This window comes from Homo sapiens, chromosome 7, assembly GCF_000001405.40.
Source record: "Homo sapiens chromosome 7, GRCh38.p14 Primary Assembly".
Lineage (NCBI taxonomy): Eukaryota > Metazoa > Chordata > Mammalia > Primates > Hominidae > Homo > Homo sapiens.
Window position 1 is genome coordinate 140,737,246 of NC_000007.14, and position 18,608 is coordinate 140,755,853.

Here is an 18,608-nt window from a genome sequence, read left to right on the forward strand (position 1 = left end):
TATGGATTCTACCAAGGTCTTCCAAAATGCTGCCTTCCACCAAACCTTTAAAATTTTACATAGAATGCTCCTCCTCACTTCCCAACATTGTTCCCAGTGCTGGATATTACCAACCTGAGAGGCGAAATTAAAATATATTTCACTGTTGTGTCTTTGCATTTTACTGACTGCCATGGAAATATTTACACCTTTTCCTAAGTTCATTCACCATTTGTATTTATTATGTGAATCACCTGTTCATATTCCCTTTGCCCATTTTCTATTGTTTGTTACTTATTGATTTGGAGGAGTCCTTTGTATATTATAAACATTTACTTTTTGTTATATATGCTACAATTATTCTTTTTATCTTTCAATGTTATTTTTCTATATAGAAGTTTAAAAATTTTTAATGTACTCACATCTGCTAATTTTTTCCTTCTGAATTTTGTCTATTAAGAAAGCCTTTCCTACCTCAAAACTATAAAAATGATTTCATATTTTATAAAACATATAGATCTTCAGCCATCTAAAATTTATGTGGCATATAACAGTATGGTGTGAAAAGATATCCTGTAACAAAAATTTCAAAATAACACTTTAAAGGGATAGCCTCCAATAATCTGGAAAGTTCACATATGCACTTCAGTTTTTGAAACCATGTAATTAATGAAATGTTATATTTAGAAGTATGGAGCTAAGCATTTTGCCCCTTTTAATATCATTTAAAAAGTGGGCCTAAGGATGTACTTTGCATTATTAATGTCAATAAACATTCTAAGTAAGAACCCGAGCACCATGACGTGAAAAGAGAACATGGGACAGGGTCATGCTGAAGCTGCTCAGCAGCACTTGTCTCTCACCAGGACAGTCTCAACCCAGAGGTTTCCTGACTTAGAGAAACAAATAAAAAAATAAAAAGAAAAAATAAAAACTCTTCCTCAAAGGAACAGTAACTTTGAAACCTGATAAATGAAACTTATATCTACCCAGCCAACCACTTAGCTTTCCCTTTCTTTTCTTAGGCAACACCCTGACAGACTTGTTAAAACCATCAATTTTATCTTCTTTCATTCTTTAGAGAAGAATAACATTTTTTAGATTTAAAAATAAAGGATGAGTGAATCTAATTCCTGTAACATTGACTTCTGTCTGAGTTACTCAGCTAGGACTGGGCATTCAAAGGCCTAAGAGTTCATACATGAACACTCCAGTAATTATGGTAGCAGGGTTACTATGGGAAATAGCACTTCCCACTTGAAACTGTACTGATTCATCAAGGCATATTTATCCAGTGCTATCAGGAGCTCCCTAAGTATCAGAAAACATTGCATTTATATTATAATATCTACTACAGCTAAACTCTGTAAGCTAGTTGAGGTATTTAGATATTTTTGTTTTGTTTTGTTTTAAACAGAGTCTCATTCTGTTGCCCTGGCTGGAATGCAGTGGTGTCATCTCAGCTCATTACAATCTCCACCTCCTGGGTTCAAGCGATTCTCATGTCTCAGCCTCCTGAGTGGCTGGGATTACAGGCTCCTGCCACTATGCCCAGCTAATTTTTGTATTTTTAGTAGAGACGGTTTTCACCATGTTGGCCAGGCTGGTCTCGAACTCCTGACCTCAACTGATCTGCCTGCCTTGGCCTCCCAAAGTGTTGAGATTTGTAAGCCACGACACCTGGCCTTAGTTACAGTTCTTTTTGAAATTTGTTAACTTAAGGCTTTATCCTTCCAATATGGAAAAAAAAAAAAAAAAGCAGTGAGTTATCAAGAATTAGGTAAAGGCAGGCTGAGCTGACAAATGCCTTACTGCCTTTTCCTTTTTCTGCATCAGGCAGAAATGCCCCTCAAAAAGACCCAGTATTAAAGGAAAGCTTGAATCTGTTTACCACCAAGAAGAAATAAAGCAGTGGTTCACAAAATGTGGTCCGTGGACCACCAGGGGATCCACGAGGTCAAAACTATTTTTGTAATAACAATAAGATATCATTTGCCTTTTTTACTGTCATTATTTTACAAGCGTTAAGTAGAGTTTTTAGGGGTGACATGATGTGAGATATTGCAATGTGAGTGCAAAAGCGGAGAATCCAGCTGTCTTCTTTTTGCAAAGGGATTTGCAAAAAAAGTAAAACAATACAACTCCTCACTAATTTTTTTCTCTTAGATAATAGAACTGTTTTTTTCTAAATATTATTTAACATATTGGTTTACTATGTTTAATTCATTAATATTTTAAAAAATAGTTTTAATTTCTAATAAGGAATTAAAACTTATATAAACAAAAGCTCTTTGTGGGGGGGGGGGTCTTCGATAATTTTTAAATGTGTAAAAGAGTTCAAAGACTGAGAAGTCTGAGAACTGATGGACAAATGCAAAGTCTTTCTGAATATTTTGTATTAGGACCCAAAATTTCTAGGTGTGCCACTGCTCAACCCTCATGAAGCCATCTTAATGTGTTTTCTTGTCTGGAGTCTGCACATAGAATCCAAACTCATGAAATACACACTGTGTGCCCAAAAAAGTGCTCAGAAATCTGTCTATGAATGTTAGTCTGTTCTTTTGGATAGCATGAAGCTTTTACTTACTTGGGGAAAGAGTGGTCTCTCATCTCTTTTCTTTTTGAGGCACTCTGCCATTAATCTCTTCATGGCTTTTGGACAGTTACTCCGTACCTTACTGAGATCTGGAGACAGGTATCCTCGTCCCACCATAAAAATTATCTGGAGAGAGAAAAAAAAGGGAAATAATTCAACCTTGTAGATAAGTTGAAAAATATACTTCACACTCATTGAAAACACAATAAGCTGTACATTTACAGCTTACGATGTATGTATTACACCTCAATAAAAAGTTTTAAAAAACCAATGCCACATCATAGATGGTGGGAAACCCACAAAAGGAGTGCAAGCTCAAATCTTCATGATCCTTGGACTGTGGCAAAGGTTCTCTAATTGCTCCCCTGCTTTTGGTCTCTCTTTATCCAGTCCATTTTCCCACTCACAGGGTAACCATCTAAAACAGATCTGACAGTGCCTCTTCTTTACTTTAAAAAAAAAAAAAATTTATTCAGCACTTCTTGTTGTTGGACGTTGTGTTAAGTCCTCTATATATGTGTAGGGAAAACCAAAAAGGTTAACATTTTAGCAGTCGTTTTGGCATCTGCATCTTAAGCCCTTTTATTGTGGAAACGCTAATGGGCCACTTGGTTATACAAACCAGAGCCTCCGCCAGAGGAGAGAAGGGGAAGCCATTAGGAGCTAAAATCTGTTTAACGAAATAAAAAGGCTTGTCTTCCCTGGATTCAGAGATTTATAATTTTTTCTAATTTCTTAATTTCCTAATATTTTGCCTCTTTTGAGGGCAGGCAGGGATAGATGTTAGGAGTCTTGGGACTCAGGGAGGACAGCCTGAGAGAAGGGCTTTTGGTCTTAGAGGGAATAGGTGCAACAGGGGGAGAGTAGAGGCTAAAGTGGAGAAAGCCCATAAAAGATCCCTGCTACAGGGCAGAGCTGATGAATTTTAGAAACCGCCAAGCTTGATACATTGTGTTATTTCCTGTTTGGTGCTGTAATGACCCTTGTTTAACTGCCAGGCATTAGTAAAGCTTTGATTGCAATGTGGCCTCTATGTAGTAGAGGTTAAAGGATGAACCTTGGAAAGAGTTACTGAATTGAGGGGATTACAGTTTTCTTTCACAATGCCCCCTACTGAAGCTACACCATCATAACATCATCATTTTAATGGAAGACAGCAGTCTTAGAATTTTGGGAGCAACCTGGAATAATATGTTGGAGCAACAAGTGACAAGCAACAGCCAGGAGAATGTAAAGCACTTCAAACAGGGGTCTTCAAAGTTGAGAGAAAGGATCTGGAGTTCCTATAGTCATATATTATGGACAGCAATTCAGGTATTCTTACTTGGCTATCAGTGGAAAAGGTGGCCCTGAAAGGCCAAAAAACGTTGGGACACTTGGATTCTAGATATCATCTAATACTCAAAAAAGAATTCTACAAGGTTGGTGTTGACTCTGTTTTACAGATAAGGAATCCAATGCTCAAATAAATTAAGTAACTTGCCCGAGATAATACAGTTAAGTAAGTAACAGGATTTGTAGAGAAGACTATCCCAATACAAAGCTACTTTTAACTTTTTTATTGCCGCTGCTCCTACTCTGCTTATAATGCCCTCCCTCACCCTTCTCTAGCTACCTGAAACCCAGATGATCAGGCCTAACTGAAAGGTAACCATGCTTATCATACCTTTCTTTACACACCTAGAAGTAATAATGGTCCTTCTTCCCACCACTAGCTGTGATGATCATTTACTGCCTTGTATGGTTATTAATCTTTTTGTGATATGTATCTTATCTAAGTTCTCCAATGAGACTATGGGTGCTCAGGCAGAGAGATTGTGACTCATACATACATATTTTAAAAAAATTCTTAAAGAAGCCAGGCGTGGTGACTCACGCCTGTAATCCCAGCACTTTGGGAGGCTGAGGAGGGTGGATCATGAGGTCTAGGAGTTCAAGACCAGCCTGGCCAAGATGATGAAACCCCGTCTCTACTAAAAATATAAAAATTAGCTGGGTGTGGCGGTATGTGCCTGTAGTCCCAGCTACGTGGGAGGCTGAGGCAAGGAATTGATTGAACCCAGGAGGCAGAGGTTGCAGTGAGCCAAGATCATGCCACACTATACTCCAGACTGGCCAACAGAGCGAGACTGTCTCAAAAAAAAAAAAATTCTTAAAAAATATCTATAACACCACTACCTCCAGTATTTAACATAACCTTGTGGACACAAGAGGTTTTCAATGTTTAAGTTAACTGTTCATTAAGGTGAGTGATAACTTTTTGCTAGTTGATCAGCCATGTCATAGGTCTATAGTCTTTAAATTAGAGTCAAGTATCCCTGGGGTTACAGGAAGACTTTGCCAGAGGTGTATAGACATGGTGGGGTTTTTTTTGTTTTTGTTTTTTAATTTGAGACAGTCTTGCTCTGTTGCCCAGGCTAGAGTGTAGTGGTGTGATCTCGGCTCACTGCAACCTCCCCTTCCTGGGTTCAAGAGATTCTACTGCCTCAGCCTCCCAAGTAGCTGGGATTACAGGTGCACACCACCATGCCTGGCTAATGTTTCCATTTTTTTAGTAGAGATGGGGTTTCACCATGTTGGCCAGGCTGGTCTCGAACTCCAGACCTCAAGTGATCCACCCGCCTCAGCCTCCCAAAGTGCTGGGGTTACAGGTGTGAACCACCACGCCCAGCCAACATGGTGGTTTTAAGGGAATTAATTTCTACAACTATCAACTTACTGGTATCCCCTTTGAAAAAACTGATTTGCCAGAGAACCACTCAAGTGGAAGTGTAACACTTATCTTGCTTTCCCATTTTCCCTGTTATAACTGCCCTTCTACCACTTTACAAAAGGCACACCTTTAGGACTTCATGTCTAAAACACCAAAAGCAATGGCAACAAAAGCCAAAATTGACAAATGGGATCTAACTAAACTAAAGAGCTTCTGCATAGCAAAAGAAACTACCATCAGAGTGAACAGGCAACCTACAAAATGGGAGAAAATTTTTGCAACCTACTCATCTGACAAAGGGCTAATATCCAGAATCTACAATGAACTCAAACAAATTTACAAGAAAAAAACAAACAACCCCATCAAAAAGTGGGCAAAGGACATGAACAGACACTTCTCAAAAGAAGACATTTATGCAGCCAAAAAACACATGAAAAAATGCTCACCATCACTGGCCATCAGAGAAATGCAAATCAAAACCATAACGACATATCATCTCACACCAGTTAGAATCACAATCATTAAAAAGTCAGGAAACAACAGGTGCTGGAGAGGATGTGGAGAAATAGGAACACTTTTACACTGTTGGTGGGACTGTAAACTAGTTCAACCTTTGTGGAAGTCAGTGTGGCGATTCCTCAGGGATCTAGAACTAGAAATACCATTTGACCCAGCCATCCCATTACTGGGTATATACCCAAAGGACTATAAATCATGCTGCTATAAAGACACATGCACACGTATGTTTATAGCGGCACTATTCACAATAGCAAAGACTTGGAACCAACCCAAATGTCCATCAATGATAGACTGGATTAAGAAAATGTGGCACATATACACCATGGAATACTATGCAGCCATAAAAAATGATGAGTTCATGTCCTTTGTAGGGACATGGATGAAACTGGAAATCATCATTCTTGGTAAACTATCTCAAGAACAAAAAACCAAACACCGCATATTCTCACTCATAGGTGGGAATTGAACAATGAGAACACGTGGACACAGGAAGGGGAACATCACACTCTGGGGACTGTTGTGGGGTGGGTGGAGTGGGGAGGGATAGCATTAGGAGATATACCTAATGCTAAATGATGAGTTAATGGGTGCAGCACACCAGCATGGCACATGTATACATATGTAACTAACCTGCACATTGTGTACATGTACCCTAAAACTTTAATTAAAAAAAAAAAGGCACACCTTTTACCCATATGTAACCTAACTATAGTATACATTGTCCCAGGGTGTAAAAACCTCTGGGGCAACAAAGAGACATTTCTAAATACTGGTGTCAAACTGGGCTCCAACGAATGGGTAACGAGTCTGTTGGTTTCCAATTCTTTACTTTCAAAAATATTAATTGAAATGTCAGCTGAGCTTTTAAAACATTTTTAATGACAAGTTACTATGTAAATTTTGGTACATTATAGGAATGAGCTCAGATGATTGAGTGATATATAGTATGTGGTAAAGAATTAACCTTGCCCAAAGAGAGAGCTAGCCTTTGCTCTTGGCTCCTGGGAGGTAATCACTAAGTCCTTGAAATGTCCTGCCTGATCAGAGTGTCTGTTTATCTGGGGGCCATGGGCCATGCCAGACAGACTGTGCTAACAATGTGATTTATAGAGGGCTCTGGGTCATGTGGCATCAGCTTGACCTCTGCAGGAGCTGGAAACTAAGGTCAGCCCCGCAGGTGGTTAATCATATGACTGAACCCCAATAAAAACTCTAGACTCCAAGGCTCAGGTGAGCTTCCCTGGTTGGCAATAATCCATGTGTGTTGTCACACATTGCTACTGGAAGCTCTGTCCACAACTCCATTGGGAGAGGGTGACAGGAAGCTCCAACAAGAACGCTTCTGAATTCTGTCCTATGAGTCTCTTCCCTTGTTAATTTTGATCTGTATTCTTTCATTGTAATAAACTGTAACTGTGAATGTAACAGTTGTCAGTGAGTCTTGAGCAGCTTTCAGTGAGTTTTCAGCAAGTCCTTTTAACAAACCTGAAGCTGGTCTTGGGGACTACTAAACTCTGCATGTGATTATAACAAAACTCCTGCCTTTGTCATCTTCTTATAATTTAGATAAAATTTCTCAGTATTTACCTCTTTAAAAATGAAATATGGAAAGAATCAATACTAAGTCTTAGTATCTAGTGTCCTAACAAAAAAGTTGTATTTATCCACAGATACATACATTAATTGAAGGGAAAAGAAAAGCCCCATGTCATTCATTAAGATACATATTTCCAATATAATTTTACATTCTATGTTTCCATATATCAAAACTTATATGCTACTTTCATCAGTTATATATTACTTGCAACAAAAACATAATTCAGAATTAAAAAATTAATAATCAGAGCTTGAAGTCACAATTTTGTAAAATTCTAAATTTAAATTTATATACATACTTTTATTGCAGAGATGTAACTTAGGTAATCAATAAAAGGCTTTAAAACATACAAATATGTTACATTAGGATGAAGTTCTGTGACAGAAACAATACAAATAGTTTGAAGAGAAAAAAGGAACCATGTAAAACTTCCAGAAATTAATGAAGAGCTTCAGTATTTTTTAATAGGCATAAAATCGGTATGGTTTTTAGATTTTGATGTATATATTTCAAAAAGAGGGATATATATGTATCTAATATAGTAGTCTTATTTTAAAATGTTAATAGAATATACTGGAAATTACATTCTTTGCAATTATTTAAACTTAAGATAAAAACTTTTAGATGCCAACTTAAAAAATATACAAGGAGATACATAGTTTTTCAAGAGTCTTTCAGGAGGAATGTGAGAAAAAAAATCAAAGACAACTCTCATGTTTTTATACATCCCACAGAATTTAGTTAGTGCAGAGCAGAAAGCAGGAAACTTTCAGTATCTGCTGGGGTGGGGTGCAGAGGCTGACTGATGAAGAAACAGAAAGAAGAAAAAAGGGAAGTTTTTCCTGGATGTTATTCATGGACAGAAGATTCATGTGGCACATACACAACGAAACCAATACCCCAGCTTCAAATTCTGGGACTGATTTTTCATACTTTCAATACACACTCAGTACTCCTGGTGTCTCGACCCTGTCAATTCACTCCATGGTATTACTGGAGCTCATGTCTGCTCATTTTCAGTATCACCCCCAGCACGGCCTCAACAGAACTGCACATGCCATTGAGAGCAGAGCCTGGGTTTTGTTTTATTCATTTTGAATCCTTCTATATTCCATAGTGCTTTGCATATAGTTGGTATTGAAAACATTTTCTATTAAAATAATTTGCCTACTGATAAGAGACTAGTACTTACTTCCTGTTTCTTCAGATCTTGTGCTTAGAACCTAGCAACCACGCTGTGAGAAAGACCAATGAAGAGGTCCTTGAAGACCTGCGAAGAGGTCCACAAGGAAAAGCTCATGTGGAGAATAACTGAGCTTCTAGCTTCTAGCTAGCACCAACTTGCCAGGTACATGAATGAGCCACTTCTGAGTAGATCCTTTTAACACCCCGTAAATCTACTCTAGTCAATACGGTGTGAAACAGGTAAGAATCTTCCTCACAGAGAAAAGCCCAACCTACAGATTCATATTTTAAGCTACTACATTCTGGGTGGTTTGTTATGCAGCAATTATAACTGGAATAATACACTTGAAATAACAGATATATGCTATCTATTCTTCAAAGAAGACACGGCACTTCTACTCCAAGGAACGAAAGCCATAAAGGTATAGTCAATATACTTAAGTGAGCACATTATTAATCCCAATTTACAAGAGAAAATGCACTGAAGGAGGGAAGAACAGGGTGATTAGAGAGAAAAATGTTAGAATGATAAAGAGAGTGGGGGGATGACAAAGTGATTTCCCAGACTTTAGTGCTAGGGTGAATAAAGGTAAAAAGGCACACTACTTTGCAAAGAGCTAAGAGAACTATTTTAGAAAAGAATCTGATTTTTGAAGCTGGAAGAAATTCTTAGCCGAATTCCCTTATTTTGCAGGTAATTGAAAAAAGAAAAAAGGCCAGGTGCAGTGGTTCACGCCTGTAATCCCAGCACTTTGGCAGGCTGAGGCGGGCAGATCATCAGGTTAGGAGTTTGAGCCCAGCCTGACCAACATGGTGAAACCCCTGTCTCTACCAAAAATACAAAAAAATTAGCTGGGTGTAGTGCTGCGTGCCTGTAATCCCAGCTACTCGGGAGGCTGAGGCAGAAGAATCGCTAACATGGGAGGCAGAGGTTGCAGTGAGCTGAGATCAGGCCACTGCATTCCAGCCTGGGCGACACAGCAAGACTCCGTCTTGGAAAAAAAAAAAAAGAAAAAAGAAAAAAAAAAGATACCCAGAGAGGTAGGTAGACCTAGTCTACCTACCTGAGTCCAAGGCCTGCCATTACATCACACTGCTTTACCAGCTGTGCTCTGAATTTACAGGCAAAATCTGCCACCTCAGACTATGGGTATGAGAGTCTAGGGGAATGGTATTCACATTGCATAGTAAAGAATATTCCTGGATTCTTAAACAGAAGTCTAATCTGAGAGCTATGGAGATCCAAGTATTATAGATAGCAAAAGAAAAATCAAAGGATGAATGGAGCAATACCTGGGGCAGCTTCACTGAGGATGGCCAGAGTTAACCCTTCAAAATGTGGAGTTTCATAGAAAGTACTATTTGACGTAAGTAGACTAGGGGGTAATGAAGCAGAATGGGGGTAGTTGTAAGAGGACATCATTCTTTTACCTCCTTCTTCTCCATTAAATACTTAACTTGGTTTCAGACTAGCAAATTCCAGAAGGTTCTAACTATACTATTAGAAAGAATTAACTAGTAAAGGCCTTACCCTTCTGTTGGTCACACATTCCTCTCATGGAGAGTAAGCCCTTGCCACATCATTTATTATACTCCCATGGAGGACAAAGCACCTAAAATGCCAAGAAGTGGATGAGAGAAGAACTCTGGGATGCTTTTATCTGTATTTTGGAGATAATACTTGTTTCTATATTATAATTTTATTATTGTACTAAGATAAACGTATTCACTGACAAATGAATTTCATCCAGATCTTAGGTTCATAAATTTTTATTAATTTGTAGTCTATATGATAAATCAACTGAAACTAAACTAAAAATCCATAATTCCTCCAGAAAAATATTATATACAGGAAAAGTGAACATGGTACAGGCTGTTATGCTGTATGATTGAATAAATAAGACTGTAAAAGACAGAGGACATGAAGCTTGTAAATTAGAGACCATTTTGCTACCCCAACTGCCATTGTCAAATCAATCATTTCAGTGATCTAGATCTATCACAAGTACAGTAAGTACAATGTTTCAATTATGTTCTTTAGCTGAAATTTCAGTCCATCCTGAATCTAAGTTTCCTGCAGGCTTAAAACATCAGATCCAAAGTCATGTTGTTACACACTCAAAGCTAAGACTCAACATTCTAAAGCTATGAAGTAGTTAGAAAGGCCAACACCAACTAAAATTTAGTTTTATAATGAACTGGGTAGAAATGTAGCCATTTTTAAAAACCATCAAACACAGTCAAGACCACTGTTGTGTAAGGGGCATATGGTGATTCAGTAAGTACACACACAAAGTACATGGTAACTTAAGAGATTATTTCTCCGATATCACAATAGGTGAAGTGAGAAAGCTACTCAGAGCTAGCACCAAAAAGATAGAGCTGAGCTCTTGACAAAACAGACAAATCACTTAAATGAAGCAGTAACATTTATATACAAAAACTACCATTTCATTAGGTTGGGAAGTTATGAAATACCTAAAAAGCCTGCACTGTTTTTAAAAAAAATCTTTAGATTGGTGATTCTCAACTTTGGTCTGTATTAGAATCACCTGGGAAACAGAAAAAAATGCAGGTGATTGGACCCTCCCCATTTAATTACAATCTGCTCCAGTTTCTCCATTTTTAAGCAAAATTTCCAGGTGATTCTGAGGCAAATCACAGCATAAAGTCGAAATATTCTTTAATCAGAGTTTATGTGGTCAACTAGTGTTTTCTAATATATTAACAGTGTAACTGTTGTAATCTCTCTACACACACAATCACAAATCTTTTAAAATGTAGTTATCCAAGGTAATTTTAGTAAAGATAATTCACTTTTCTTGGCCAATTTTAAAAGTCTAAGCGAGCCTACTGAGGCAGAGATAGAAAAGGCTAAGAGCTCCATGAGGCTATGTTAGTACCTTTTGGAAGGTAAGGGACAGGGAATAGTTGCTTAGGAAGGAAAAGAAGTAAAAAATTACCCTCCTACTAGCATTCTCATTATAGAAAAATCAAAGCATGATTTCTTCCATTTACCTAGTTTTAAAAATTAAAGATTTCAAGAAACCTTAGTAATTTTAAAAGAATTTAATATAAAGATCTCATAGCTGAGTACCTGTTCTGACAGCACAATCTGTGATACAGTGAAAAGTATAATGCCCAGATGCTATAGTAGCAGAGCTCATTCTTCTAATTGTGCGATGGTCAAGAAATATCCATTCTTGTAACTGTAGTTTCTAGTCAGAAAATCAGGAATTTTATTCCATTGTAACATTCATGACTGATATTCTGAGGAAAGGACTTAACGTGTTGCTATTACTGCCAAAAGTATACAAACGATTTCTAAAACTGGTAACAAAAAATCAAGAAATCTATCCTTCACGCTTACCCAGGAGTTAACACTTATTTTCTACAACTGGAGCCTTGTATATAGACGGTAAAATAAACACCAAGACGTGGTAAATATTTACCTGGTCCCTGTTGTTGATGTTTGAATAAGGTAACTGTCCAGTCATCAATTCATACAGAACAATTCCAAATGCATATACATCTGACTGAAAGCTGTATGGATTTTTATCTTGCATTCTGATGACTTCTGGTGCCTGTTAGAACATACAAAGAAAAATATTCTTCACTTCAATTGAATAAAGACTGAAAAACAACCTACTATAATTCCTAGAGCAATGCTTTTACCATTAAAACACCTGTCTAATATGTAATCAATTCTCTTAATAGTCAAAGAAATAAAACTGATTAAGCTGAAGAAAAAAACCTCTACATACTCAGAAAGAGACAGTATTAGCAGAGATTTTGTATTGTATTACTAAGATTTTATAATTTAGTAATTATTTAGGCAATCTTTCTGCAGAAAATACCATCATTGCCAGATGAATTCTTCCCATGACTTACCCTATTAGAATCAGTTCCCACTTCCCATTCCTGATTCAGCAAAGAAATACTAGACTTGTGGTTATAAGATGCTTAGGAGCAGCACAACTACTGTAGTAACTGTCTTACAATTTAAGTTTTCCCATTGGTACAAACAACTTTTCTCATCTGAGGACACCTTAGAAAATAATGGTAGAATTTCAGGACTGATAAACTCAAATCCCCTTTCAAACTATGGAATAAGCATATGGTATAAACATGCCATGGATGCTTTATTAACAAAAGCAAGACAGCAGGTAGATTTAGTAAAAGATGGTATAAAGAATCTTCTGGCTGCTGCTTCTTGGGCAATGAAACAATCATATTTGCTACATTTTTACACATTTCAGTCATTGTATTGCACAATTAGGTTTCTTATTTACATGAAATACAATAAACAGTTGGTTAATTATTAGCTTAAAAGAGTTATTCTTTCACCTTGCGTCTTCTGTATTGTTTCATTTGGAAGGAATCGAAATGGCAGTATATTAATGAAAAGTTTGTGACAATGTCAATTTGACAGCAAAAGTGGTACTAACTCTGCAAAAATGACTGAAAGACCTGGGACAAGATTCCTGGTTATTGCTCTGGGTAAGGCAGGCATCTCACAAGGAGAGGCAATAATGGCACTGAGCAACAGCTGTAAATGAGAATGACCCGCGGAGCCTTAAACCCCTCAACGTCCAGACTACACTCCAGTCCAATCACACAACGTAACAGAGTCTGGGGGTGGGACCCAAACATTAATTAGTCTTTAAAGCTCCACAGATGATTCTAGTGTCCAACCAAAGTTGAGAACCACTGATGGAAGATCTGTGGGATGTCCTGAAGAGCGTGAGAGGATGGAAGTGAAGGAGAAGGTTGTATCTACTTCGCTTTGTCATACATTTTGTTCATAGTTGCTTTTAGTAATACAGTACAAAATAAACCACATATAACTGTGATGTAATAAGCAAGCCAGAATACTGAGAGGCTGGTATGGCAAAGGTATAATGTTCAAAGCCTGACCAATTTTTGTGAGAGATGGAGTAGAAATCAGATGAACTTTTTTTTTTTAATTTAGTTTTATCTCACACTGTTGTTGGTAGACAGTTTGATGAAAAGTTGCATGTCACCTATTTTAAGAAATGCATGACGAATCTTCAATTTAGTGATTTAATTTGTAAAAACTCTCACAAAGGTTTCTTTCTCTCCTAAGATACAAATAAAACAAAGTTGAGAAGAACATTGTATATAATTCAAAGGACCACACAGCCTTAGTTATGACCAAACTCTTCTCTCCTATGATACGGATGTTCCATATTTGTTTCTGAGGGCAGTATCAACCCAGGATTGGTTTAACAATAAAGGGTACTGTTGGCTATTATTCTCTCGTCTTAAAACTCAGCATGAAAGAATAAAGGAGAAACCCATTTACACAGGTATCAACAAAAAATTAATTGTAAGAAAATATAAAACTTTATGTATAATAATCTACAAACTGTATAAACTAAGGTTTTTGAAAAAGTAAGGACAAAACTGGAGACTTGATTGAGCCTAACTCTCCCACATAGTCAAAAATTAACATACTTTAAAAGCACGTGACAATTGTTTATAATTTTAGGTTTTGCAATTTCAGCACTTAAAATCTGTTTTCCCTCATCTTTTTAGGATACACTGCCATCTTTTTCACAAGGTGTGTATGCCTTAATAAAGGTGCCTGACATCAGATTATAGTTATTAATTTTTCTATCACTTATAATTATTAATTAAAAGTTAAACATATGTTAAATAATGGAAAAAATCTAGCTAACTCCAGTCACCGAATCTTAGAAAAAAGGGGCATTGGAAATCTACTAGTCCAACTCAACATTTCAGATGTAGACTTAGAGGAGGTTAAGAAACTTGCAGGTTAATGGCCAAATAGGGTACCAGAATACAGATCTTCTAAGTCCAATGTCCCCTCTTCCACCTTGCCACCTGCCCTAATTCCACTTACTGTCATAAGAAATCACAGCTCAATTTAACTCTAGGTTTATTTTGACAAACTTGGGAGTCCTATCTTGGACTTCCCTTTCTGGAGACTGCTACATAAAGTTTGTGGCTTTGAAAGCCCTTACAACTTTTCTGTTTCCAGCAGGGTGCCCGAAAGTCTTAGTGCAGATTAAGTTATTTAAAGCTTAGAATTGCACTAAGACTTTTGGAAAGGCTGTATTCAGCTTAGAGCTGTGTTTTTCAAACTTTTTGGTCTCAGGACTCTTTTTCACTCTTAAAAATTATTGAGGATGATAAAGAACTTTTGTTTAGGTAGATTATATCTGTGGATGTTTACCATTAAAATTTAATGGAGAAATTAAACTAGTAATTCATTTAACTACTAAAATAATAACAAGTAGATGTTAACACAGATCATTCATTTTTAATGAAAAATAACTATTATCAAAAAAAAGTTTAGTAAGAAGAATAGTACTACAATTATCCTCCTTTTATGGTTTAGAGATGGGGTCTCACTATGTTGAGCAGGCCAGTCAACTCCTGGGATCAAGTGATCCTCCTGCCCTAGCCTCCCAGGTAGCTGGAACTATGGACTCCAGCCACCATGAGTGGCCTGTGATTCTCCTCAATGTCTGGCTTAACAGCAGCCAGCTGGATTCTCATATTTGCTTTTGCACTCAGTCTGTTGCAATGTGTTGTTTTGGTTGAAGGATATAAAGAAAATCTTGTCTCACAAAGGGAAGATCTTGTGGACCCTCTAAAACGGTGTGAGGGACCCTTTTAAGAATGCTGTTTTAGGGAATGATTCATATGACTGAGCTTTCCACAGCTTGCTGCAATGCACACAAGTTTTTGTTCCCTTCTTTTAGAACTTCTCTTTCTTCTTTTCCACAAAGCAAAAAACAAGAAGAAAGAAAGAGCTATGCAAGACAGCACAAGGCTGTTAATCTACCTCTCATTTTTTTTTGTCTTTCCTCTTCCAGCTGCCCCATAATTATGAGATACTTTCTAGTCTAAAGGAAGTAACTTTCCAATTTAGGCTTAAATAAGATTGCGAAACAGCTTCTCTGTTAAAAGGAGTAGTTCTCTTAGCAAAACCATAATAATGGCTGTGGATCACACCTGCCTTAAATTGCATACCTGTTTTTTTTTTCAACAGGGTACACAGAACATTTTGAACACAAAATACTTTAAACAATTTAGAATAAAATATGAAACACTGTTTATAAGACATATATTTTTGTTTGAAATACACTGAAACTGGTTTCAAAATATTCGTTTTAAGGGTTCATATTTATTTAAGAATAAAATATGAAACACTGTTTATAAGACATATATTTTTGTTTGAAATACACTGAAACTGGTTTCAAAATATTCGTTTTAAGGGTAAAGAAAAAAGTTAAAAAATCTATTTACATAAAAAATAAGAACACTGATTTTTGTGAATACTGGGAACTATGAAAATACTATAGTTGAGACCTTCAATGACTTTCTAGTAACTCAGCAGCATCTCAGGGCCAAAAATTTAATCAGTGGAAAAATAGCCTCAATTCTTACCATCCACAAAATGGATCCAGACAACTGTTCAAACTGATGGGACCCACTCCATCGAGATTTCACTGTAGCTAGACCAAAATCACCTATTTTTACTGTGAGGTCTTCATGAAGAAATATATCTGAGGTGTAGTAAGTAAAGGAAAACAGTAGATCTCATTTTCCTATCAGAGCAAGCATTATGAAGAGTTTAGGTAAGAGATCTAATTTCTATAATTCTGTAATATAATATTCTTTAAAACATAGTACTTCATCTTTCCTCTTAGAGTCAATAAGTATGTCTAAAACAATGATTAGTTCTATTTAGCCTATATAACCTGCTTTTAAGATTTTTGGGGCTTGAAATGTGTTAGGATGAGGTGAGATGCTTTCCTAAGTTTATAGGAGAACCTAAAACTTTCCCATTAGATTTTAGCAATGTAGGCCCAGATATTCTCTTGGCACTCCTGGGCGAGCAGTAAAGGCTCTTCATTGGAATGAAGATGCTGCAGATAGTATCTTAGTCTGCACTTAGGGAAGAGAAATATTATGTTTTTCTCACCTCATTGTTATATAATTTAGAGTCTTCAGTTATATCTCAACTACCACTGAGCAAGGTCAGAGGTCTGAAAGGGACTAATAGATAGCTACAAAACTATCAGTTTTATAGTGCTGATAAAATGTAAGCAAGCAATCAAAAACTCCTACTATTGTAAAGACTTCTGATAGATTTTCTTGTAATGTTCAGTTGTCGAGAAACCAAAAGCAGGCTGTGGTATCCTGCTCTCCTATACATGCATGCACAATCCTTTATTAATTCTCTTTACAGTATATCGAACTTAGCATGAAAACTGTTTTTACATAATGTGAAGACAAAATGCAGAAGAAAAAGTCAGGATGTTTTCAAACTTCGCAGACAAATTTCAGGAAGGATACTATTACTCTTGAGGTCTCTGTGGATGATTGACTTGGCGTGTAAGTAACTGAAAAACAAAACATCATTTTAACCTGAGTAGGGCTAAAGGACTCTGGCCTCGAAATCTACAGAACATACTTGGGGGTGTAAAGACTTATTTAGAATCATGATACAACTGAAAATAGTACATTGTAATAAACCCTTCACAGAATATTAAAATAGACTGTAAATGAATTTAAGATTATAGGAACATATCACTATAATGGTACAGTCAAAATCTTGTTTTCTATTAAAAGACTTTGCTTTATCTTTTACTAGTTACCAATACAAACCTTTCACTCCAGTCAAGCCTATTTATCCATGTCCCTTAAATATACCTTGATATTTAATCCCACCACTGTGTTCAATGCTCCCCTCCTACACCCAACCCTCCAAGTTAGCTTTCGTTCTATTTTCCACCTATTCATATCCATCCTTTAAAACTGAATACAAATTCTAACTCCTGAGTGAAGCTTTCCCATGACTAACCGAACTGAAAGTGCTCTTTCACTGCTCAACTTATGTAGTAATTATCATAATAATGGCTTGATTCATGTGTTTTTTCAACGTGCCTATGTTCACTTCTATTTGGAATGTAAACTACTAGAACATGCAGTTTGGTAATTAAAACTATTTTTAAAGGTAGTTGTCATATATTCTTAAAATATTTTCTTAAAACTAGTGAGGAGAAAACTTTCTCTAAAATGGCCATAGTAGGTCTATTTTAAAGTCAACGATAACTTTAAAATCATCTATGTTACCCCTAAAAACTGCTTTAGCTACATTCATTGAAGTAAAAGGCAGCATTGTTGTTGTTGTTTTTGGGGAGACAAAGTCTTACTCTATCACCCAGGCTGGAGTGTAGTGGCACGACCTTGGCTCACTGCAACCTCCACCTCCTGGGCTCAAGAGATCCTCCTGTCTCAAAAGGGCTGTGTCTTGTTTATTTCTTTGTATACCCAGTGCCGAGAACAGTGCTTGGTATGTGTGGTAAGTATTCAATACATGTCTACTGAATCAACTACAATAAGATGCATATAATGTGCTAGTCAAGGTTATTTTTCTTAATTGAATACCGGAGAGAATAGCTATATGACACTTCTGAAATCTGACAATGATCATTAGACAGTTTTACCTTAAAATGAGAATTTAAAATCCAAATGGTATAATCAAAATCATGCAATAAACACTGTTAAAAGTGGAAGATTTGCAAATAACCAAGATTATTCATGCTGTCTCATCTTCATTTAAACGTCCTCATTCTTCCCAATATCAAAAATTTTAAAGTATTTTCTAGATAAAATTTTCATTTCAAATTACTATTTATCTAAAGTAATCCCTTCTCCAATTACTATTCATATCACAGTTTATGTTCTTCATAGCATTTACTACAATTGAAAATTATCTTGTCATGACTTTAGGCTCAGTGTTCTACATCATATTGTCACTCTTTCACTGAAAGAAAATGTTATTTCGGTTATAGGTCTCACTGCTTACAAAGTTCTGCAGTGACATACAAAGTTAAAAACTGGTGGAAATAAATGGGCCCCAATCAAAGCTTTAAGATGGTGAGATCTTGTCTCCATTAGAAAGAAAGGGGGATAAATGATGATGGTGTTGGTTGGTGGAGCTAGGTCCTGCACTCAGA

General features: G+C 36.6%; 1 protein-coding gene across 19 annotated transcripts in view, besides 2 other annotated features; it reads right to left on the minus strand.

The window, feature by feature from the left end:
- Positions 1–18,608, minus strand: part of BRAF (B-Raf proto-oncogene, serine/threonine kinase) — a 211,602-nt gene that overhangs the window by 23,918 nt on the left and 169,076 nt on the right. For 16 of the 19 annotated variants that reach the window (NM_001378474.1, NM_001378470.1, NM_001378475.1 and 13 more), the window contains 4 exons: positions 16,942–16,988; positions 16,030–16,148; positions 12,042–12,173; positions 2,567–2,701 (listed from right to left, as the gene is read on the minus strand). In NM_001378474.1, the coding sequence (NP_001365403.1) occupies positions 2,567–2,701; positions 12,042–12,173; positions 16,030–16,148; positions 16,942–16,988 (433 nt within the window). Of the gene's footprint in view, positions 1–2,566; positions 2,702–10,120; positions 10,203–12,041; positions 12,174–16,029; positions 16,149–16,941; positions 16,989–18,608 lie in introns of those variants that run through there. The other 3 variants (XM_047420767.1, XM_047420768.1, XM_047420769.1) reach the window with 3 other exon arrangements.
- Positions 9,590–9,790: a silencer, noted in NCBI's record as "peak6790 fragment used in MPRA reporter construct". NCBI's record gives its function as "represses an SCP1 promoter by STARR-seq MPRAs in K562 erythroleukemia cells {active_cell/tissue: K562}" and the evidence as "EXISTENCE:reporter gene assay evidence [ECO:0000049][PMID:32103011]".
- Positions 15,370–15,570: a silencer, noted in NCBI's record as "peak6791 fragment used in MPRA reporter construct". NCBI's record gives its function as "represses an SCP1 promoter by STARR-seq MPRAs in K562 erythroleukemia cells {active_cell/tissue: K562}" and the evidence as "EXISTENCE:reporter gene assay evidence [ECO:0000049][PMID:32103011]".